At 54.5% G+C, this 22537-nt stretch overlaps 1 protein-coding gene and 1 long non-coding RNA gene across 4 annotated transcripts in view, besides 5 other annotated features; one reads left to right on the top strand and one right to left on the bottom strand.

Moving 5' to 3' along the window:
• The window catches only part of NOL4L (nucleolar protein 4 like), a 142275-nt gene that overhangs the window by 90214 nt on the left and 29524 nt on the right, over positions 1-22537 (top strand). For 2 of the 3 annotated variants that reach the window (NM_080616.6, NM_001351680.2), the window contains exons 1-2: positions 11630-11758; positions 20378-20519. In NM_080616.6, coding sequence (NP_542183.2) covers positions 20411-20519 — 109 coding nt within the window. In that variant the 5' untranslated portion in view covers positions 11630-11758; positions 20378-20410. Of the gene's footprint in view, positions 1-11629; positions 11759-20377; positions 20520-22537 lie in introns of those variants that run through there. The other variant, NM_001256798.2, reaches the window with a different exon arrangement.
• On the bottom strand, positions 7818-9090 carry LOC124904886 (uncharacterized). Its single transcript, XR_007067564.1, has 2 exons — positions 8999-9090; positions 7818-8606 (listed from the first exon to the last, which is right to left on the bottom strand). It is a non-coding gene; the product is annotated as an uncharacterized LOC124904886 (long non-coding RNA).
• Positions 11596-11755: a silencer, noted in NCBI's record as "silent region_12790". NCBI's record gives its function as "represses an Ori minimal core promoter by ATAC-STARR-seq in GM12878 lymphoblastoid cells {active_cell/tissue: GM12878}" and the evidence as "EXISTENCE:reporter gene assay evidence [ECO:0000049][PMID:35858748]".
• Positions 12116-12225: a silencer, noted in NCBI's record as "silent region_12789". NCBI's record gives its function as "represses an Ori minimal core promoter by ATAC-STARR-seq in GM12878 lymphoblastoid cells {active_cell/tissue: GM12878}" and the evidence as "EXISTENCE:reporter gene assay evidence [ECO:0000049][PMID:35858748]".
• Positions 17493-18264: an enhancer, noted in NCBI's record as "H3K4me1 hESC enhancer chr20:31064659-31065430 (GRCh37/hg19 assembly coordinates)". NCBI's record gives its function as "activates a minimal SCP1, AML or CMV promoter by ChIP-STARR-seq in naive H9 embryonic stem cells {active_cell/tissue: H9 hESC(naive)}" and the evidence as "EXISTENCE:reporter gene assay evidence [ECO:0000049][PMID:30033119]".
• Positions 19436-19625: a silencer, noted in NCBI's record as "silent region_12788". NCBI's record gives its function as "represses an Ori minimal core promoter by ATAC-STARR-seq in GM12878 lymphoblastoid cells {active_cell/tissue: GM12878}" and the evidence as "EXISTENCE:reporter gene assay evidence [ECO:0000049][PMID:35858748]".
• Positions 19809-20580: an enhancer, noted in NCBI's record as "H3K27ac-H3K4me1 hESC enhancer chr20:31062343-31063114 (GRCh37/hg19 assembly coordinates)". NCBI's record gives its function as "activates a minimal SCP1, AML or CMV promoter by ChIP-STARR-seq in naive H9 embryonic stem cells {active_cell/tissue: H9 hESC(naive)}" and the evidence as "EXISTENCE:reporter gene assay evidence [ECO:0000049][PMID:30033119]".

Below are 22537 nucleotides of genomic sequence, written 5' to 3'. Positions count from 1 at the left end.
TAAATGCTTGTCTGCTCCCCAGGCACCACAGTACGCACAGCAGGTGCCTGGACGTAGCGTAGCACCCCTGTGTCCTCTTCAAAGAGTCAAGAGGCTCCTGTGTCCTCTTGAAAGAGAAAAGGCCACATGGGAGTGGGGGATCCTTGCCATCTAGTCCACCCGCGGACAGGAGCCATGTGAATAAGCCAGGAATGCTTTTGACTACAGGCCCCCAAACCCAGTTGACTATAGCAAAACATGAAGTTATTTTACTCCTAAAACAAGAAGAATGGAGGAGCCGCCGCTGGTGCCATTTGCAATGTTGGGTTGGTGTCTCTGTGATGTTATTGAGGCTTTTCCTCATGGTTGCAAGTTGCCTGCTATTGCTCCAACCTTGTCCACATTCGAGGCATTGTGTTGATGTCTCATTGCTGCAAAAGGGTCACGTGGTTCCCAGTTGTAAGGGAGGCTGGGAAAGAAAGAATTTCATGTTTCTACCCTCTGTGGTTGAAAAAGATAAGGGAGAATGTTGATTCAGGGCATAATATCAAGAAAACTGGTTCACAGTCTCTGCCACAGCCTGGGCACCATCAACTAAACTTTGACAATCACTTTGGGTGTTAAGATGCCGAAGGCTTGGGCAGAGAAAAAGAATGGAAAAGAAAGGAAACGGGGAAAGTGGGGAGGAAGAAGAGAGGAGAGGGAGGTAGGCAGGGGAGCAGGAACAGCAATTGTTGGGGGCCTTCTGTGTGCTGGGTACCCCCAGACACAGAACTCAGTTCCTCAGCACACAGGGAAACTGAGGCTCGGCTTTAGAGAGCTTAAGTAATTTGTTTGTGTGTGTGTGTGTGTTGTGTGTTTTTTTTTTTTTTTTTTTTTTTTTTTTTCCCGAGATTATCTCACTCTGTGGCCCAGGCTGGAGTGCAGTGGCATGATCTCAGCTCACTGCAAGCTCCACCTCCTGGGTTCAAATGATTCTCCTGTCTCAGCCTCCCAAGTAGCTAGGATTACAGGCATGTGCCACCACACCCAGCTAATTTTTGTATTTTTAGTAGAGACCAGGTTTCACCATGTTGGTCAGACTGGTCTTGAACTCCTGACCTCAGGTGATCCACCTGCCTTGGCCTCCCAAAGTGCTGGGATTATAGGCATGAGCCACTGCGCCTAGCCAGTAATTTGTCTGAAGTCACAGAATTAGTAAGAAAGAGAGCCCTAGTCTCTCCAATCTTAATGCTGTTATTTCTCAAGGGAAGGGGTGGGGAAAGAGAAAGGAAAAAGAAAGCAACAGTCAGGGTAGGGACAAGCTGAGGCCGCAGCAGCACCAGCACCATCGGCTCCACATGGACAGACCCAGGTGTGCTTATCTCACCACTGCAGTCCCTGCACCTGGACCGGGCCTTGGAGCATAGTAGGGGCTCAATAAATGCGTGTGGACTGATGACTGAGTTATTACTTAGTTTTCGTAGTACCATCACTATCCATAACTATGGTTCGGGCGGTGCTCTGTGCCCAGCACCAGTCCAGGCCTCTTCAGCTATCGCTGCATTTAGGCCTCACTGCAACCTTCAAAAACAAGTCCCTGCTGTTGTTTCCTCATTTTAGAGATGAGGAAACCAAGGCTTGGAGAGTCAAGTCACCTGCCTGAGGTCACACCGAGCAAGGGCCTGAGTGCAAACAGAGCGTGTCCGCAGCTGCCCACTCCCCTCCACACCTGGACATGACCCCACACACTAGATTCAGCCCCAGAAAGGTCCCCATGCAGCATCCCGGGCCCCAGAGCCTTGGGCCATCATCCACACCGGAGCTGTGGGCTCTGTCATGAAGGGACTGCAGGCCTAGGCAGAAGGTGCTGCCTGCCTCTTTCTCTTGGTAACCTGCCCGTTTCCCTGCATGGCTTCCTTGGACCGAGTGAACGTAAGTTAGTCTCACACCCCCACAGCCTGTGGAGGGTCCTTACCTCTCCTCACCTGCCGGAGAGCCAGCTAGAGTTTCATCCCTTCAGGCTTCCAAGGCCAGCCTCCTTCCAAGGCTTGTATGGAGAAGCCCTGGGGTCCATCCCAAGGCAGGGCCTCACAGCAGTCCTAGCCCATTCCCAGGTCTTGGCCCAAGGGAAATCTCTGGCTGCATCTGACTCGCACTGGTGGATTCCTCCTGCTCTGCTGGAGGTCGGTGAAGCGCAGCACCACGTGGCCTGGCTCAGTGGTCTCACCTTAGCAGGGCCCACCACACACCCTGGAGACCCACACATCTTGGTCCAGCACAGCCAGCAGCTTCTAGCTCCATGATTGTGGACGTGTCACCTGCTCTCTGAGTGCCAGTTTCTCCACTCTTGGGTGACTGGGTGAGTCACTTAATCTTCTCCCAGAAGCCCCTAGTCTTCATGTGCACAATGGCAAATGAATATCAACCTTGTTATTTGGTGGATTAAATAAGATAACACATACACACTGCCCAGCACAGGTGCCTGGTGTCCAGTGGGTTGCAGTAATCGACTACAGCGAGCTCCAGGCTGCTTAGCCATGGAAGCTGACCTGGCTTGCTGTTTCCCCTTTTGAAACTTCTACTGAAGCATAATGCACATTCAGAAAAGAGCACGCATCACTCAGTTTCACAGCTCAGCCAAGTTCACAAACTGACCCCACCTCCTGTGACCCATGTCCAGATCAAGAAACAAAACATCAGCACCACCCTAAAGACCCTTTGTGCTCCCTCTAGTCACTGCCCCTGGGCCAGGGTGACCACTGACCTGACTTCTAGGAGCATACATTGATTTTGCCTGTTCTAGAACTTTATAGAAATGGAATTGTACAGCATGTGCTCGTTTGCTCACAAGCATAAGTGTGTGAGCATCATCTGTGTTATGGCATGCGTCAGTAGTTTGTTTCTTTTTATGGCTGAGTAATATTTCATGGTATGGGGGGCCCACAATGTATCCATCCTTCATTGGTGGACAGTTGGGAGCTGTTGTGAATAGTGCTGCTATGACCAGCCTACCAGTCTGCTATGTGTTCTTTCTTCTTTCTGTCTTTCGAGACAGGGTCATGCTCTGTGGCCCAGGCTAGAATGCAGTGGCACAATCACAGCTCACTGCAGCCTTGATCTCCCAGGCTCAAGCAATCCTCCCACCTCAGCCTCCACAGTAGCTGGGACTACGGGTGCATGCCATCATGCACAGCTAAATTCTTTTTGCAGAGACAGGGTCTTGCTATGTTGCCCAGGCTTATCTCGAACTCCAGACTTCAAGTGATCCTCCCACCTCAGCCTCCCAAAGTGCTGGGATTATGGGTGTGAGCCACCATGCCCAGCCTACTGTGTGTTCTTTAGGGAACATCTGTGTTCATTTTATTGTGTACACACCTGCAAGTAGAAATGCAGGGTTGTGGCTGGCCTTGGTAGTTTCTCTGAGCCTCTCCAAGGGCACCAGGAAAGAAGGGAGGGAAAAGAGGCATGTGCATGCCCCATGGGAGTTACAAAGTGTGGCCCGTGTCCAGGATGGCCCGCTTCATTCTGAGCTCTATCGAAGACTTCAGAGCTGTGCTGGCAGTGGGCAGGAAGGGGCCCGAGTGAGGCAGTGATGCATCCCTACTGTGTGCAGGGTAACTCTTCTAAGAACCTGTCCCAGCCCTCAGAGCGAATGGCCCAGTTCGGAAAATGAAGTTAATGCAGGAAACAGAAAGTACCACAAACGCGTCAGTTCAGAGCCAGCTGGGCGGCAGTCTGTGGAGGGATCTTGATTTGGCTGAGGTGGAAGGTGTCTTTGTTGACAGCCCAGGCACCTTTCCACCTCATGAACACCCATTCATCCTTCAGTGCCCAACTTAAATGTCACCTCCTCAGTGGAGCCCTCCCAGATCTGCTACTTCCTTCTCACACCCTGGGGACTTCCTTCCTAGAATGTTTCAGGACTATCAAGTACAAACTGGAATACACCGCCCATGACCAGCATGCAGATCAGGATCCCATGACATCACTTGTTTAATCTCTCTCTCCCCTGCTGGCCTGGAGGCTCCCTATGGTCAACCCTGAGTCTGTATTGTACATTGCCATGTCACCTGCACTTGTCATGGCGCCTGGTGTGTGGTAGTGGCTCTGTACATATGTGTGGAAGGAACACAGGCCTAAAAACATGTGTGGTCAAAGGCATGGAGGGGTCGCACATGGGTGACTAGGGGACAAAAGATGGCGAGTCCGTCTGCTACAGAGTTCCCAGAGAGGAACAGAAGGAAATAAGGCCAGCAGGCCAGTGGGGCCTCCAACGCCAGACCAGAGAGAGCTATAACTCGATTCCGCCGGTGACTGGGAGTTATTGAAGGTTTTGGAATAGGAGAGCGACATGACCAGAATTAACTGATGACATTTTAAAGCAAGACTTTTTGAAAAGGAGAATAATGAAATTGTAATTTTTACCTTTTATCATGGTTTTCAGGAGAATGTATTTCAACAAGTCAGGCTCAGTTAGTTGTATTCGTAATGGAAAATTTATCTAAATAGAGAAGAATGAGGAAATAGTATTGGACTGTTTCTCCTAGATTTCAGCAAAGGTGTCAAACTGACTGTGAGGTTGCAGGCAGCTATGCAAAAATCAGTTAATATAAAGAATAAATGGATAGTCAGCGCTATGGCCCAGCCCACAGGTCAGGTGTTTTGAATCCAGGCACTTGTGAAGCCCTGGATTCTCCACATCCTCCTCTTCCAGCCGGATGCCTCCCTACTTTCCACCTGTCGCAAGCCTCCCAACTTCTTTGATTCACAGTAAATGTCATCTCTTCCAGGAACCTTCCCTCTCACCCCCCAGTCCCCCAGGAGAAACATCTCTCCTTTCTCCATAAATATGCTGTACCTAGAGTACCCCTTGGCTGTGACACTGTTTCAATTATTTTTGTTATGGTGTGAGCAGGGACAGTTTATGGGGTAGAGATGGATGCTAGCCCTACCTAGTAGGAAAACATATATATACATAATGTGTGTATATACATATATATATGTGTATATATATTTTTTTTTTTTTTTTTGAGATGGAGTCTCTCTCTGTCACCCAGGCTGGAGTGCAGTGGCATGATCCCGGCTTACTGCAGCCTCCCCTTCCTGGGTTCAAGCGATTCTCCTGCCTCAGCCTCCCCAGTAGCTAGGACTACAGACACGCACCACCACGCCCAGCTAATTTTTGTATTTTTAGTAGAGACAGGGTTTTACCATGTTGGCCAGGCTGGTCTCAAACTCATGACCTGAAGTGATCTGCCCACCTCGGCTTCGCAAAATGCTGGGATTACAGGCGTGAGTCACCATGCCAGGCCAGAAAACTTATTTACTTATTTATTTATTTATTTATTTGAGAGGGAGTCTCACTCTGTCACCCAGGCTGGAGTGCAGTGGCATGATCTCGGCTAACCGCAAGCTCTGCCTCCCAGGTTCACACCATTCTCCTGCCTCGGCCTCCCAAAGTGCTGGGATTACAGGCGTGAGCCACTGCGCCCGGCCCAGAAAACATATTTTAAAGCCATAATACTGAGACAGGAATAGGTCAACAGAATATAATACAAATCCACACATAATAGAAAATTAGTATAAGATGACATTTCCAATTAGTGGATAAAGATGAGTTATTTAAAAGATGATATTTAGGCCAGGTGCAGTGGCACATGCCTGTAATTCCAGCACTTTGGGAGGCTAAGGCAGGAGGATTGCTTGAGTCCAGGGGATTGAGCCTGCAGTGAGCCAAGATCATGCCACTGCACTTCAGTCTGGGTAACAGAGTGAGACCCTGTTTCAAAAATAAAAAATAAAAGATAAAAGATGGTATTGACACCACTTAGAAAGCCATTTAGAAAAAAATAAGCCAGATCCCCACTTCATTACTTATATTGAGATAAATAAAAGATGGAATAAAGATTTAAATGTAATGAAGACATAAAGTTTCCAGAAGAAAATATAGGTGAATTACTTTTGTAATCTTAGAGTGGAAAAAAGCTTTTGTTTTAACCTGAAGCCCTAAAGCCCTAAAGGAAAAAAAAAAAATCAGATGATATAAAAATGTAAAATTTCCATATGGCTAAAAAAATCTTGTCATAAACTAAATAAAAAGACAACAAAAGGAAAACATATTTGCAAAATACATGACAAAAGATTAATTTTCCTTATTTCCAAAAAGTTCTTACCAAAAAAAAAAAAAAAAAAAGACCAACAATTCAAATAGAGAAATGGGCAAAGGATATGAACAGGTTAGTCAGAAAGAAAGAAAGAGAGAGGAAAGAAAGAAAGAAAGAAAGAAAGAAAGAAAGAAAGAAAGAAAGAAAGAAAGAAAGAAAGAAAGAAAAAGAAAGAAAGAAAGAAAGAAAAAGAAAGAAAGAAAGGAAGGAAGGAAGGAAGGAAGGAAGGAAGGAAGGAAGGAAGGAAAAGAAAGAAAGAAAAGAAAGAAAGAAAAAGAAATACAAGTGCCCCGTAAACACAGTGCACAGAAACATCTACTTACATTCCCAAGTGAAGAGGAGCAAAGGAAAATAAGAGACACTGTTCTTCCTCCCTCAGATTGACAGAGATAAAAGAGATTGCTAATAGTAAGCAGTGACAAGTGTGCAGTGAAATGAGTGCTGCTAGATATTGCTGGTGGCAGAGTAAACTAGTGTAGCATTTAGAGAGAGGGATGTGACCCCGATTGTGCAATTATGAAATGTACAATCCTGATGATAAAAGCTACCATCTACCAAGTACTCCCTCTGGGGAAAAGATCAAGATGTCTTTTAGGATCTAGCCTTGGCAGTCACACACCCTCATTTCCACAATGCACCATTGGTTCCACAGCCCTGTGCATTGCGATGGTACCAGGGTATGAAACTGGGCGGTGAGGGTCATCATGGGCCATCTTGGAGACTGTCTACCACAGTTTGTAATCTCAAAGAGGAAAATTTGGTGCCAAATGCTACGTTAAACACACGTTAAACATAGTGGGTCTTTGGAAGGCCAAGGCGGGTGGATCACTTGAGTCCAGGAGCTTGAGACCAGCCTGGACAACATGGTAAAACTCCATCTCTACTAAAAATACAAAAATTAGCCAGGCATGGTGGCACACACCTGTAATCCCAGCTACTTGGGAGGCTGAGACACAAGAATGGCTTGAGTCAGGGAGGTGGAGGATGCAGTGAGCCCAGATCGTGCCACTGCACTCCAGCCTAGGTGACACAGCAAGATTTGGTCAAAAAAAAAAAAAAATAAAACCAACAAACAAAAACTGTGGATCACATGTAGATGAATAAACTGTTGCTTAGAGAGGTTTAGGTATGGTGCCCAAAGTCATCCATCTAGTGTCAGAGCCAGAATTTGAACTAGTTCCATCTGATGATACTCTTTCCATTAGACCTCCTCACTGGCCTCCCTGTCATCACTTCTGCTCCTTTATAATCTCATCTCCCCTGATCTAAAAACGTAACTCAGATTGCATCCTCTCCTCACTCCCAGTGTAAAGCCCACACACCTCACGGGGGATGTTCAGGATGTTGCATGCTTGGCCCTGTTTGCCCCCCCGATGCTCATCCCTCCTGCCCTCCCCCTGGCCCACATTGCTCTAGCACTCTGGTCACCTTTCCTTTCATCAGCAGTTTTGCACCAACTATTCCCTCTGCCTGGAAGACAGTGCCCCCAGGTCTTCACCCAGCTGTCAACTTCTGCCCTCTGGGGATTAGGACACCCAGTGGCTTCCTCCTGGGAGAGCTCTTCCCTGACCACTCAGCCCAGAGCCCACCCTGGCCCCCACCCTCATTCCACCCCCATCCTCTGCCTCTCCCCCACCCCTTGTCCACACCTCATTCCATCTCTACAGGATCTAAGAAGAGTCACACATTAAGTTTAGTTGTTATTTCTCTCTCTTTAATTTTTTTTGAGATGGAGTTTCGCTCCTGTCGCCCAGGCTGGAGTGCAACGGTATGATCTCGGCTCACTGCAACCTCTGCTTCCTGGGTTCAAGCAATTCTCCTACCCCAGCCTCCCGAGTAGCTGGGATTACAGGTGTGTGCCACCACGCCCGTCCAATTTTGTGTTTTTAGTAGAGACTGGGTTTCACCATGTTGGCCAGGCTGGTCTCGAACCCCTGACCTCAGGTGATCCACCCGCCTCGGCCTCCCAAAGTGCTGGGATTACAGGTGTGAGCCACTGCACCCGGCTGTTATTTCTCTTTCATCTTATCGTTTAGAAAGTCAATTAGTGACAATGAATGTTTTGTAGAGTCCAAGACTGTTGTGTTGTGGAGTTTCTCTTTCTGGATTTCTTGTCTGGTTGTCTCTTGAGGAGCAGATTCAGGTGAAGCATGTTGGGGGAGCACATGGCTCAAGTGATGCTGTGTCTTCCAGTGCCTCCCTTCAGGAGCCGAGGACATCATGTCTGGTGGCCCCACTTTGGAGGCTGCTGAATTTGATGACTTGATTGGGAAGTGTCTGCCAGATCGCCCCATTGCAGGTACATTTTCTTCTCTGTCATTAATAAGTCATTTGTGGGGATAATTTTTTTTTTTAATGTTTTGACGTGCTTGAACAGTGTCTGCTCTGGTCACGCTAAGATCCTATTTGTCCTAATAATGGCAAACCAGAGTCCCATGGCCAGGTCCCCACTTGTGGGACATGCTTACTTCATATGGGAAGCTGCATGAAAGAAAGGGGTTTGCTGCTTAAAAAGCCCCATCAGAGCATACCCTAATCATCTGTTTACAAAAGCACCCAATGTCTTCAGAGGCTGGAGGGGACCTGTGGCAGCATTGTCCCCCCGAAGCAGATGGGATCAGCTTTCTCTGCCATGGTCTCCTACCAGGCTGGGGCCAGAAGAAGGGACACATCACTGGGAGAATTAGTGGTCAAGAAACTAGGTCACCCGATTCCTCATTGGGACTCATGCTGTGGCCACTTTAAGGAGTGGGGGAGTGGCACAAGGACACTGAAAACAACCTATACAAGGTTACTCCAGGAGTGGCAGCTCCTGTAGGAATAAGGATCTGGGAGATTTCTGAGGGCTTCAGCACACACACATGAAAACTCACCTCATTTGCAGTGCCGCTCAACAGCCAGGTTTCTGCAGGGCTCTCAACTGTTTTCTGTGGGTTGAGCAGGGCTGGGCTGTTTTATCTCAGGGATAGTAAATGAGTTCACGTTTCATGCCTACAGAAAATCACTGCTCTGCCCTCCTGGGCGGTACTAGCTCTCTTTTATTAGTCAGAGAAGAGGTGGGTTATCTGGGTTCAATTCCACCTTTGAACTTCAGTTGTATTTGGCTTTATATTTCAAGCTCAGATGTCCACCACTGCTGTGAAATAGTAATTCAGGCCAGGAGAAGTCAAAGGTCTCTGAAAATGTGGTGGGGAAAGGGAAATCCTGAGTCTGAATTATCTCATTTTCAGAGTGAGGATGGACAGTTCCCGCGTTTGGAAACACATTTCCTGGATGAACTTAAGAGCTGTGGCCACTAGTTCGTTCTAAAAATCATTATTGGGCACCAGCATGTGTGGATAAATAAAGCCTCCCACCTGCCCCACATCACCAAGGATGAGAAGATCCAGTAAACTGGGGAGAGTGAATTGGTTTGAAAACACATTTGATTTCAGGAATAAAAGGTGCAAATGAGTAAATGTGCCTAAACCCTCTTTTAAAAAGAAAGTGTGAGTTTTCTATTGACAGCAGAGTCTTGAGCATGTGCGGAAGGAAGCCTGCGTGGCGCTAATGTGATGTCTTGTCATCATTTTATTTTTCTGACGGGTAAACGCTGGGCTCTGAACCTGTGGGGTTGTACTTCGCACTCGCGGCTGTAGAGGGAGCCTTGTTTACCATGGATTGTTCACAATGCAAAGCTTTCAGAGGAAGAAAGAAAAAAGGCTTTTTACAGAAAAAAAGTTGGAGGGTTAAAGGCAGTCTGTTTCAAAATTGCAAACAATCGCTGTGGCTGTCTCGTTTTCTCTTCTCTGCTGGTTCCACCGTGAATGAATGGTAGCGTAAAGAGTCAGTAGAAATTGCCCTTCCTCTTCGGATGCGACCAGAGGAATCAGGAGGTGGGATCCTTATCAGGGTTTTTTTTTAGTTGTTTTTTTTTTTTTTTTTTTTTTTTTTTTTGGCAATTTCCCCACAGAATTCCACGAGGGCAGTTCCCCATCCTTGTTGAAGCACAAGCTTTTTTCGAGGCTGATCTGTGGTAGCGGAGGGTCTGGATTTGGAGGGGTGGGGTGGGAATGGATCCCCTGACCCATTTTCTCCATCGGGGTCTAATTCTGCGGTTTGGTGATGAGAGTGTTGCTTTTCGGGCCGAGTCCGAGGTTGCTCGGAGGTCCAGGGCTCCCACCCCGCGATGCCAGTCCTGCCTCCTCCTGCGCCCCGGGCAAGGGTCTGTCCGCCTGGGGGACCGCATCTGGAATCCGCGTGGCTCCCCTCCCCGGCGGTGCCGTCTCCACGGACAGTGCGTGCCCGGGTCTGGGCTGGAGCGACGTCCCCGAGATTATCCTATTACTTTACAACTGTGGCTCGCGCGCCGTCAGGACCCGGCCCGGTGTGGGCTGGCGGAGCACAATGACCGGCGGCGGGGCGGGGGCGGGCACGCGGGCGGCGGGCGCTGGGGGTCGCGTAGATGTTTGGGTCGAACAGGTGAGCGCCTCCCGGACACTCGGGTGCCCGCGGGGGGCGGGGAGGAGGGCGGAGGGGGTGTAAACTAAGTGGTGGGAAAGAGACAAAGGAAGAGTGAAGAGCGAGACGGTGCGGATGGGGAAGGGGGAGGGGCGCGGAGGGGCAGCCGGTGGGCAGCGCGCCGAGGAGCTCGAGCTTGAACTTGATCAAGCACTGGGGGCCCTGCCGTGGGGGTGGGGCGGGGGTACGGCCGAGAGCCGGCCACGTGCCTGGCTTTCCCAGCCCGGGGTCTCGCTCCGGCCGCCCGGGGGAGCCGAACCCCGAGGCCCGGCAGCCCCGCCCCACAAGTACCCGCGTCCCTGGGGACCCGAAAGACGCATGGGGGTCGAAGGCTGCCCGAAGGGGCCCCGGGCGCCGAGAGTTCCTGAGGGTGCCTGAGTCACTTTATTTGGGCCAAGTCTCCCTCTCCTGGCCTGACCGCAGACAGCCCGCCGGGTGCCCTCTCCCCCCAGCCCCCACCGGACCCAGAGACCGCAGCCTCCGGGAGCGATGGGTAGGCACAGATCCCAGCGCCTTCTTTCCGGGCTCAGCCCCGTGCAAGGATCTTCCTCGAAGCGCTTCCCCCTTAAGAGCGCGCTCCCCACCGAAGCGCACGGCGGCGCGTCCAGCGCGCCCTTATCCCCCCCTACCTGGCCCAGCTCCCCCTCCTTCCTCCTCTTCTCCCCCCGCGCCTCTCTCCCTCCTTTCTCCTCTCCCCTCTCCCTGGGTGCCTCCTTTTCCTCTCTCCCCTTCCCCCCGTGCCCACTCCTCCCTCTCACCCGCCCCTCCGCCACCTCCTCCTGCTGCTCCTCCTACTCCCCCTGCCTGCGCCCTCCCTGCGCTCCCCTCCCCCCCGCCCCCGCCCCGTGCCCGGTCCCGCCCCCTCTCCCGCCTCCCCGTGCCCGGTGCCCCCTCCCCCTTCCTCCGGGCCGCGGCGCCGCCGCCGCTGCCGCCGCTGCTCGCCTGGGCCCTCCTCCTGGCCACCCCCGCCCCCGGGCCGGGCAGTGACGCGCCGCGGTGGTGCCAGCCCCTCTCCCCGGGCAGCCGCGGCGGCAGCAGCAGCAGCAGCAGCTGGAGCTGTGGGGCTGTCACCGCCGCCCGCCCCGCTCACTCGCGGATCCCGACCGCCCATCTCCGCCTCGCTTCCAGCCCAGGTACGGAGTCCGGCCCGGATCCCGGCGATCGGGCCGTTTCCGGGGCCCGGGCCGCCGCCCCCCTTCTCCGGCTGCTGCCGCCGGCCGTTGAGCTGCGGTTAGGGGGGCGAGGGGCTGGGGGCGGTTCTGGGGAGGGGGGCGCAGGGGGAGCTTCCTTTGCCGGGGCTGAGGGAGGGGGCGCGGGGGAGCGGCTGCGCCCTGGGCCGAGTGGGCTGGGGCGGGGGGCGGGTGAGTGTGCCCGAGAGTGGAGGGGGGGCGATGAAGGCTGCACTGTGGGGGCCGCGGGGCGCCCAAGAGGTGTGTCTGGCCCTGAGCGCCCAGGGTCGCGGGGCGCACCCCACTCCCGGGGTGCGCGCCGCGGGTCCTGGGGGGCGGTGATTGTGCGCGCAGCGCCGCGGTATTGTGCCACGGCCGCTCGGTGTGCAGCGGGCTCGGCACCGCGTCCCGGCGAGGGAGGCGTTCTCTGGCGGCGGGGCGGGGGCCGGGCTCGGGTTGCCGCGGCCGCCACGAGAAGGGAAGTGGACTGTGTTTGGGGATGTGAGGACGGGAAGCGTTGAGTGTCAGGGAGGGGTTCCCCGGCGCGGCGCGGGGAGTTGAGACGCGGTTTGCAGAGTTGAGCCCACTTCAGCAGGCCCGGGTCCCTCCCGGGAGGGGACGGGGTGTCCCTCTCAGGTGCACCGTCTGACCGGAAGCCGCGGGCGTTGGCGGCCCCTGGCGAAGGGGCCTTCCTTAATGAGGGGACACGGCGGGGCGGGGGCAGCCGGCCGCCTCGAGGGCGCGCGCAGGGGTTAAGTTGGATTTACACCTCCGCCCTCTCTCTCCTCCCTCCACCTTGTCTTCAAGGCTGGACACTTTGGATAGGGAGGAGGGGGGAGTGCAATCCGCATTTTTATTCCAGCCGCTCGGGAGCAGAAGTGACCCTGCTCCCACCCGGAGCTGCGTTTGCCCGAGTCCGGCCGCCCCTACCGGGCTGCGCTTCCTGGGGGAAGTTCTCATTAAGCCTCGCTAATTAGCATTATTCCTGTAGAAAGGTTAAGGTTAGACCGTCCTTTTCCTTATGGGAGGCCCACCCCCTCCTCCCCATTCCCTACTCCCTCCCCTCTCCCCAAGAGCACAAAAGCACAAAAAGAAAGTGTGAAGAGGCTCAGATCAATGGAGAAGCCACAAACCCATTAATTCAAATGGAACCTTTTTTCCCCCTCTAAAACATTGATTTTCCTTTCTGTCTGCTCTGAGGGGAGATGAATAACCTCCTGATTTCACCTGAAATGGTGTTTGGACTCTGTGATTTCCTCCTCTTTCTGAGAAGGATTGTGGCTTGAAATAGATTCTCCCTTGAGATAAAGCCCTACTTATCCCAGAATCAGCTGGCAACCCCAGCCTGCTCCCCCCCCCCCGCCCCGCCCCACCAACTCACACACACCAAAGGGGGTGTGGGGAGAGGTGTTTGGGGGACCTCATGGCTCTTCTGGGGAGAGCCATCTGTGTGATGGGACCAGGCCCCTGTCTTGACCCCTGACACAGGCCGGATTCTGGACTGAGTTGGTCTGGGGAAAAGGCCCGTTTATGGCCCAGGCCCTGTGGTAGTTTAGCCCCCCGGGTAGTAAATTACCCCTTCATTGGAAAGCCATTAGGGCCTAAATGTGTCCTTGAATAATATCAAGCTCCTGTCTAATCCAGGCTCAGGCTGGGCTTGCTTTATAGAGCAGGGTTTTAAGACAGCACCTCTTGAGCTGGGCGACACCACCCTATTCAGCACCTTCCTGCCGCACAGTGGGAACAGAGCTCACTGCGGCCTTCCTCCCAGCTGAGAAGACGGCCTTCCTCCCAGCTGAGAAGACGCCTTTGGGGAACTTTTCCTGCGGCCCCTACCCTGGGGCTCTGTGGAGCTGGACCGCCTGGGAATTGCTCAAGAACTTTTTCTGTGTTGTCTGGGTTCCTTTCTTGGAAGGACAGCCCTGCAGGGGATTAGCTCACAGCGGCTCCCTTCCAGCCTTCCTTTTGGCTGGAAGATCCCTGTCTGCTGAAGCTCCTCTCTCCAGCTTCACTTTTAAAGAAACCCCCATTAATGGCAGGGTCTGAGGGTACCAGCGAGGCCCTCGTGGTGAGGAATGCTGATGGGGAGCAGCCAGGTGCCTTTGCTTAGGAACAAAAGCCTGTTTTCCACTTGATATACAGTGGGAAGGTGTGGGAAATGCTCACTTCCAGCATCCAGGTGTCTATGACAGCAGGGACAACAGAGGACCACATGTAGATGGGAATACGCTTCTGACAGACACAGTGTGCGTGTGAGTGAGTGTGAGGGAGAGAGAGCGAGAATGCCTCCAGTGTGGTAGGTGATTGGCTGTGTCTCAGCCCTTCCTGCCTCATATTTCCCAGAAGAGCTGGTGCTTGCATGGCTAGTAAGCAGAGGAGGCATGTTTGCAGGAAGGAGTGGAATTGTGCAGGGAGTGCTGGAAGGCTGGCCTCCTTCCCTGGTGGCTAGGTGGGCTTGGGGTGTAGCCATGAAGCAACAGCCTTGGGACCCCACACCCCCCAGGAGCTGTGGCTCAGACCACCCTCCTGTTTCATGTGTGCGGCTCCTTCACAACAAGGATTTGAACCCCTGTTGCTTTAGATGCTGGGGGTTTTTCGTCTTCCATTAATAAGCCATCTGATGAACTGAAGTGGTTAAGTTGGGGTCACATGCGGTTCAGTACCTTCTTGGCATGCTCAGAAGGCTGCGTGTGTAATGCTCGCTGACATGGAGACAAGGGGGAGAGTCGCCTCGTGTGGAAGAATGTCCAGGGCCTGGAAGGGGCCTACAGGTGTCCAGAAGGAGGGGCCCACCAGTGGGTTGAGAAGAGACTCCGCTTTGGGATAGAGCTGGTGCTGGGGCAACCCCCTGAGGCTGGTGTTCTTCCCAGTGGGAGCTTTAGCCTCCTGTCGAACAAGCCTGGGGGCTGTATAGAGAGGGGTCTCTTTCCTGCTTGGCCCAGAAACATCCCCTGCACATCCCTGCCCCTGCCCTCCTCTGAAACACACACCCAGGGCTCCTGGTCAGGGCTTATGGCTTAAAATTGCACTAAATTCTCAGCAAATCCTCCTCCTTTTCTTTCTCAAGCAAGCTGTAGAGATAGAATTACAGCTCTCAGGAAGGGTCTGGAAAATACCGTGTGAGGCACGCCCCAGGATCCCAAGTCCTGGAGGATGCAAATGGCTCAACTTCAGAGGCACCAGGAACCCAGTTCCAGAGAAATTGACCCCAGTTGTAAAATAATCAGGTTACTGATAGCACCTGCCCGTAGTTACAAGCCATGGATACAGGCCCATTTCCACCATTTCCCCTCTGGTCTCCCGTTTTCTCCTCCTCCTGGGCTGGGCAGTGGTTGTGCTAGTTACCATGCAGAAGAGGAAGGGCCTCAGAAGCTGGGTGGAGAGAGACTGAACCTGTCCATGAATTTTGGACTGAAGATAAGAGCAGGGAGAGTCTGGTCAGCTCCTCTCCCTCTGCCCCAGAGGCAGGGCTCCCAGGTTGGGGTGTGTCCCAGAGGCTGACTGGGTGCTACCCATCTGCCTGCCTAACTCTTAAGTTCCCTTTTCAGAAGAGCATTTGGCTTTGGCTCTGTTACCCTGTGACCCATGATGGCTTTGGTGCTGGAATAAATGATTGCTGGGTGGGCAAGGCCACGGGCTTCAGGGTGTCCAAAGGGCAGAGGCTAGAGAAACCAGGGGGTAGCTGACTGGCCAGTCACATGGGGACTGGGGAGAGGGAACCCAGAAGTAATGGATTGCACACACTTTTTTTTTGTAAATAGAGACAGCGTCTCACTGTGTTGCCCAGGTGGGTCTTGAACTCCTGGCCTTAAGCAATTCATTCACCTCAGCCTCCCAAAATGTTGGCATTACAGGTGTGAGCCATCACACCCAGCCCACACTTTTATTCTCTAATGTAAGTTTTGTTGAAGTTTGTTAACAGAAAGGGAGAAAATAGCCCTCAATTCATCTGAGATTCCTGAAGGGAAAAGTAAAAAGCGCCCTGTGACCTCTGGGTGAGCCAGTGAGCACCTTGGGTCTCTGAGCAGGCCTGAGGCCTTGGCCACTCTCAAACCTGCACCAGTGCCTCCAGCATGGCCCTCTGGACTTGGGTGTATTTTCCCCCTCTGCACAGTTGTCGTTGACGGGTTCTGATCTGTGTGTACTTGTAACTGCCTGTGTGATTAGCCTGCTTCTCCAGCCTTGGCTTAGGGTGTGAGTGAGGGACTGGAGCTACAGTCTGCCCATCTGCGGCTAGGGGGGCTTACACCCATGAACTGGGCTGTGCTGCGCCAGACAGGTTGCAGAGGGGTCTTGGGAAGTCTTCTTCTCTACCTCAGCCCTTGAAAGTCTGGGTGTTGAAGGGTTTGTGTAAGTCTGACCAAAACTTATTTTTGTATTGTGTGTTTTTGAAAAGTTAGGCTTAATAGACTTGATTTCTCACTTAAAAAAAATTTGCTGTCGCAGCCAGGTGTGGCAGCTCACACCCGCACTCCCAGCACTTTGGGAGGCCAAGGCACTTGAGCCCAGGAGTTCGAGGCCAGCCTGGGCGATATAGTGAGCCCTTGTCTCTACAAAAAATTAAAAGTTAGCCAGGCGTGGTGGTATATGCCTGTAGTGCCAGCTCCTCGGGAGGCTGAGGCAGGAGCCTGGGGGGTCGAGGCTGTAGTTAGCCACTATTGCACCACTGTACTCCAGCCTATGTGACAGTAAGATCCTGTCTTTCAAAAAAGCTATAGCAGTCAAGATATCAGAATCTTAGAACCACTTTTCACAAAACTGGGGTCCACATGGCAGAACCCTGGAGGCTGTGGGAAAACTTCCTGGGGAGCTGGGGAGAAAGCAGTCATCGTTAGGTGACTAGGCAGTGTGTCCACAGTGTCTCCCCACTGCACCTACAGGTGGGTCAGAAGTTTTGCTGGTCCCTTTTCCTAGCTAACAAGGCCTGGTGTAAAGGAGCCCTGCCTTAGTTATCTATGTCCCTAGCACAGTGCCAGCACATAGTAGATGCTCAATAAATGTGCAACAACTCATTGAAGAAAGTGAGCATGCATGAGAGAGAGAGAGAGAGAGTGTGTGTGTGTGTGTGTGTGTGTGTGTGTGTAAATATAGCCTCATCACCCATGAGTTCCCTCTGGGCCTCATCTTGAGACACTTGGTTGTTAAGGAATCTGGTTCCTCCCATTGAAGGGAGGAGATGTGGTGAGGTGGCCCATGGTGCGGTGACAGTGTGATGCAGGCTCTGGGCACAGGCTGCCTGGGTCTACACACCAGCTGTGCTGCTGGCTTCGTGCCCCTGGGCAGTTGGGGCAGGCGGGGCGGGCCTCGCAGGGGCAGTTATCAGAGCTGGAGCTAGGCCTGACGTGGGTGCCTGTGTTATGGGGTCATGGGAGGAAATCTAATAAAACCATTAGCCTGAAGTCCCGTGCCTGTGGGCACTGGGTGCTCCTCCTAATCAGGTGATTTTGATGCCAGGTTAGGTGTAGCCCACCTTTTCCCAGTGGGACCCATCAAGGGAGTGAGGGTTGGAGGGGGCATTTGGGTGAACAGTTCAGTGATGTGAGCCAGAGAAACCCTGGCTGTGTGTGGGGTGGCTGGCAGCGGCAGGAGGGAGGCATTGCAGGGCACCAGGGTGCCACCAGCCCACCAGCCTGCATCCTGGGCTTCATATGCCCTCCATTCAAGAACTGTGCGCAATGGGACCAGAGTCCTTAATTGTCAAATTAATGGAGCGTCCTCATTAAACACCAACACTATGCCAGGCAATTCAGTTGATTCAACAAGTCTCACTGCCTTGTGCGGGATTCAGAGGACATACAGTCTGGTCCCCACTGTTGGAAGGACCGAAGGTTTTCCAGGGAAAGACAGGGCAGAGACCCACAAGACAGTGACAGCTGGATACAGCTTGGAATTGGGATTGTGGTTCACAGCAGCAGTGTGGGTTCTAGGCGAGGGCCAACTCAGTTAGGAGGGCGTGTCCAGTCCTTGGCGATTGCACAGATCTGGCTCTGCCTCGTGTTAGCTCGTGACCTTGGGCGAGCACCTTAACCTCCTGGAGCCTCAGTTTCCTCATCTGTGGAGCGGGGCTGTCAACTGTACCTACCTGGTGGACCTGTAGTGAGGGTGAAATACCACAAGTCCAGGGGAGCGCTGGGCCCCTGAGAAGCTTTGCCTTCTGTTGTTATGGTTTGAACTTGGCTGAGAGAGGCCAGAGTGTGCGTATTGAGTGGAGTTCAAGAGCCTTTCTCCAACCTAGAGATGGCAGGTACGGCCCTGCCAGGGTTACGTGCACTGTGGGAGGGGAACTTTTCGTGTGGCTCCTCTGTCCCCGTGTGCCCGCCCATGCCTGCCCACAGCAGCCTCCTTGCCTCTCCTCAAACCCAGCAGCTTGTGCCCCACTTGCTGCTGCCTGTGCCTGAAACTTGCGTGGAGCCACACAGACCTCATGGGCTCCCCTCCTCACTTCTCGCAGGCCTCTGCTCCAGCATTTCTGACCCGTGGGGTTTTTCTGGGCTGCCCTGGCAAACAGGTCCCTCTGCCCTCTTGCCCTGCTTCCATGTGCTTTGCAGCCGTCATCAATGTTTTTCTGCTCATTGTCCATCTCCCTCGTGGATCGAGGGGTGCCAGGCAGGCCAGGAGTGTGTCTGGTCCACAGCTGAGTTTCCCAGCACCTAGAGCGGAGCTTGGCCCATAGCAGGTGCTCAGTAAATACCTGTCGAATGGATGGATGGGGAGTTTGGAGTAGGTGGCACTTTCAACTGTTACTAGAATACTCTGTCTTTTAAGTCGTGAGCATTTGAACAATACCCAAGAGTCTTCCTCCTTCAGCTGTGACTTCAGGTCAAACCCAGAGCATGGCACCCCCTGGGCATCCAGGAAGTAGCAAGGGGCCCATGCAAGATGCCCCGTTCCTGGTTCCCGGAGCCCGCATGGCACGACCAGCTGGGAAGATGGGGAGCCGGCTGCACCTTGCAGCCTTGCTCAAGGCTCCAAGGAACCTTCCCCCACCTGCCAGCCTCTCTTCCCCCTCCCCTTCGTCTCCCTCCATCCAGTTAGCACAGGGGAGAGTTTTGTTGTCCCTTTGTACCCTTTGTGCAGAGCCTTTTGAACGTGTGTGTGTGTGTGTGTGTGTGTGTGTGTGTGTGTGTCCCTCCGGGTGTGTGAGCGAGTTTTCACGAAGGAGGGCTGTGGGTGGAGGTGCTTGTGTTTATGGAGCAGGCAGCCTGTGGGAGGGAGGCAGAGTGAGTGCGTGTGCCTGTGTGTGGGGAGAGGACACTAGAGGACACGTGGGCTCTGTCCATCCCCCGAGGCCCTGGGTGTGCCGCGTGGGGACTACAGGCGTCACAGCCCAGCTCCTGTCCTCTGGATTCAGCAGAGGGTCCACACTGCACAGAAGCTATAAATTCCAGGAAACTCCCTACCAGCCCAGCCGGTGGGGGAGGGAGTGGAGGCGAATCCACACTGGTTCCCTAGCACTTGGAGCAGATGTGTCTGCCTCAGGGACAGCAGTCTAAGAAAGTTCCAACCAAAGTGTGTTTGCTCACTATAAAAGAGGTGTCTGTGAGGGGGGCCCCGGAGGGGAGGCTTGGGGGGTGCTCTGTCAGAGGTCCTCACTGGGGGCCCACAGAGGCCATTGTGTCTTGCTGGGGGGAGGCCAGAACTCCGGGTGTGGGAGCTGCTGGGTCATCTTTCTTGGTTTTACAGCCAGCTCCCAGGCACAGTTGCTTGCTGCTCCTGAAAGGCTGGGCCTGGAGGAGGTGGGGGCCCTTCCCCCTGGAGGGCTGGGTTGAAGGGGCCCCGCCCCGGGGGTTCCCGGATGACTGGCCAAGGGCCGGCCCGAAGCCGGCAGCGAGGAGAGAGGAGGCAGGCGTGGTCCTCTCTAGCAGGCCATCCGGCTGTTTGGAACGCCCTGGCGGCCCCCCAGGCCCTTGAGCTGAACCCCCTTTGCGGTCTGGTCCGAACCCTGGCCTGCCCCGCCCCCTTCCTTCTCTGCACTTCTGGGGCTGGCCCTTTCAGCCCTGGAAGCTGCCCAAGAGCGTATCTTTGAAGCACAGCAAAGGTTAGGAAGGAGGAAGACAGAAACGTCCTCTGGGCTGGGGGAGTGGGAGAAAGGAATTCCATGCATGCTTCATGGGAGTCAGGGCGCCAGGCCTGCTGGGGGCACTCAGCTCAGCCTCAGTGCCTGGTGGCGGGCATGTGCTGCTGCCCGCTTCTTGCCGCCGGGTCCTGTGCAGAGTGAGCCCCGGTCCCTGGGCTGAGAGCAGGGAGCGGCAGCCCTTGTTTACAGCGCTTGTTTCAACCTTGGCTCACAAGGGTAAGAGCCAGGCCCTGCCATCCGCCCCTGCAGGATGCGAGACCTCATAATTGTCTTCAATTACAGACAGTGCCGGCCCTTAGCCTTGGCTTCCGACAGGAACCAGAGCCGGGGCCACTTCCACCGGGCAAGGGGGAGCACCACCCAGCCCTCACTTCAAGGTTTGAGGGCTCCTGCCGCCTTCAGGGCACTCCCAAACGCCCACTGGCCCTGGGGTCCACCCACAAGGCTGCCTCAGGCTGATGAGAGCCCGTCCCTGCTGAATGCCCACCTTCTTTGTCCCTGCTCAGGATGAGACTTCTGTGAGCAGCGAGGATTTTGATATGAGCGACTCCACATGGATGTCAGCTGACCCGCACCTGGCCTCCAGCCTGAGCCCCAGCCAGGACGAGAGGATGCGGAGCCCGCAGAACCTCCACAGTCAAGAGGACGGTGAGTGCCCCTTGGTGGCAGTTGAGGAGGGGCTGTGCCCGGCCCCCTGCTCCCAGTTGTCCTCAGGTGAGAGGTGTGGACACACTCCAGGGTGGCGGAATCTGGGCCAAGGCCTTTGGGTGGCTCAGGCCCAAGCTTGCACTGCCCCCAGTGTTCTCAGCATCTCCATGGGCCCCAGTGCCCCAGCTCCTGGCTCCTTCCTCCCAAAGATGAGGGAGAGAGCCCATAGGACTGGCAGCCTGCGGGGCGGGGGGTCTGCCTGGTTGCCGGGATGCCATGGGCTTCTGCAATGTGGGTTTCAGAGTTACCAGGGGCAGGCCTGGGAAGGTTCACAGTGTACCTAACCCAGAGCAGTTCCGCTGCCCAGCAAGGGAAACAAGCTGTGTTTCTGCAGCCACATGTGAGGCTATAGCCCAGGTCACCTGGTGAGTGACCAGGCAGTGCAGCTGCCCACATTCACCCTAGCCCCTTGGGATGCGATGCGGCTGGCTGGGGAGCTGTCCGGATTCTTCCCTAGCCCTGACCGCCTCCGCGCAGGGCCTGCCAGGCAGCCTACTCCAGCCTCCCTTGGAATAGAGGCTTCCTTCTCAGGGGTTGGAGAGTTAGGGTCAGGAATCAGACCCCAAAGATCCACCCCGGCCTCCACGTGGACTCCCCCAAGTGGTTGGGCTCTGGGACCCTGGCATCTACCTTGGTGTGCCAGGGTTGTGAGGTGGCCCTGTGAGCACAGCACCCCAGCATCGCCTTTGTTTCCGTGGAGGAGATGGTTGGGGGCAGGGATGAGTGAGCTGGGCCCAAGAACTGGGGTGTAGGAGCCGGAGCCAGCAATTAGGAGGGGTTGAAGGTCGAGGCCTGGAATGTGGGAGGGAGGTGCGGATTAAAAAGGGGTGTAATGTGAACTCTGTGAAACGGGTCAGCCTTAAAGAGTAAATAAGGGGTAGGAGCCTTGCTGTTTGGGTCAAAGTTCATCTCCATGGCAGAACCTGCGCGCCTGCCTCCCGAAGGCCTGAATCCGGCTTTGTTTGGGAGGAGACCCAGTCTGGAGGCAGCTGGAGGTGTCTGGGCCAGGGGCTGGGGAGCACAGGGAGTGGCTGCAGGAGGAGTGGGGTGCGTGGCTGCCGGCAAAGAAAAGGCTTTTGTGCTTGATGCCTCGTGAGGTCGGTGCGACCCCCTCGTGCTGCCAGCCTCCCAGGCCAGTGCCGCCTTCCAGCGTTCCCACGGGGGTGGGGACCGGCGGGGGCAGCCACGTGCTCTGGGGGGCTCTGGGGCTGGGACAAGCGCAGCAGCTGACCTCCCGCCTCAACTGAGCCGATTGAGGCCACGCCCAAGGAACACTGAGGGCGGTGCCTGCAGAGCCCAGCTGGGGCCACAGGCTGTGGTCCCCCACAAGAAGGGTCTGGGACAGTTGTTCAGAAACCCAGAGCAGTGGGGCTGAAGGGACCATGGTCCCCCTACTCATTCCCAAGCAGATCTCATGCTGTTATTCCTCATGACCACCCTTTGAGAGCGTGATCTCTCTTGGAGACACGTCCTGGGGAGGTCTGGTGATTTGGGGGCTGTCAGGATCAGGTAGCTGACAGTGGCATTTCTGTGGGGTCCATGGGGTTCCCTCAGCACCTGCTGCCCAGAGGCTGGCTGGCCTGGCCATGAGGATGAGGCTGAGAGATGCAGGGAGGCTGGGGGGTCTGTAGGTCCCCAAGAGCCCAGTGCGGGGTCAGCCTGGGGTAGTCAGACACCACCTTCCCCTCCTGATGGACACCAGAGCTGGGACAGGGAGGATGCTGTTGACCACAGGGCCGTGGGCCTCACTGTCCCCTCCGAGACACTCATGGAGTTGTGGGCCACCCCGCTGGCTGGCTGAGACCCTGGGCAGGGCACAGGCCTTGGGAAGGCCCAGGCAGCTGGCCTGGCCTCTGCTGCCTCTTCTGGGCCTGTGGGCCTGTTGGTGTCTGTCCAGAGCAGTGGGTTTCCAGCCTAGAGTCCTGGGCCATCTTCTGGCCCCCCTGGAGACATACAAC

Source organism: Homo sapiens, chromosome 20, assembly GCF_000001405.40.
Source record: "Homo sapiens chromosome 20, GRCh38.p14 Primary Assembly".
Classification (NCBI taxonomy): domain Eukaryota; kingdom Metazoa; phylum Chordata; class Mammalia; order Primates; family Hominidae; genus Homo; species Homo sapiens.
Note: the sequence above shows the minus strand (reverse complement) of the source record. Positions and strands in the feature narration are given on the sequence as shown.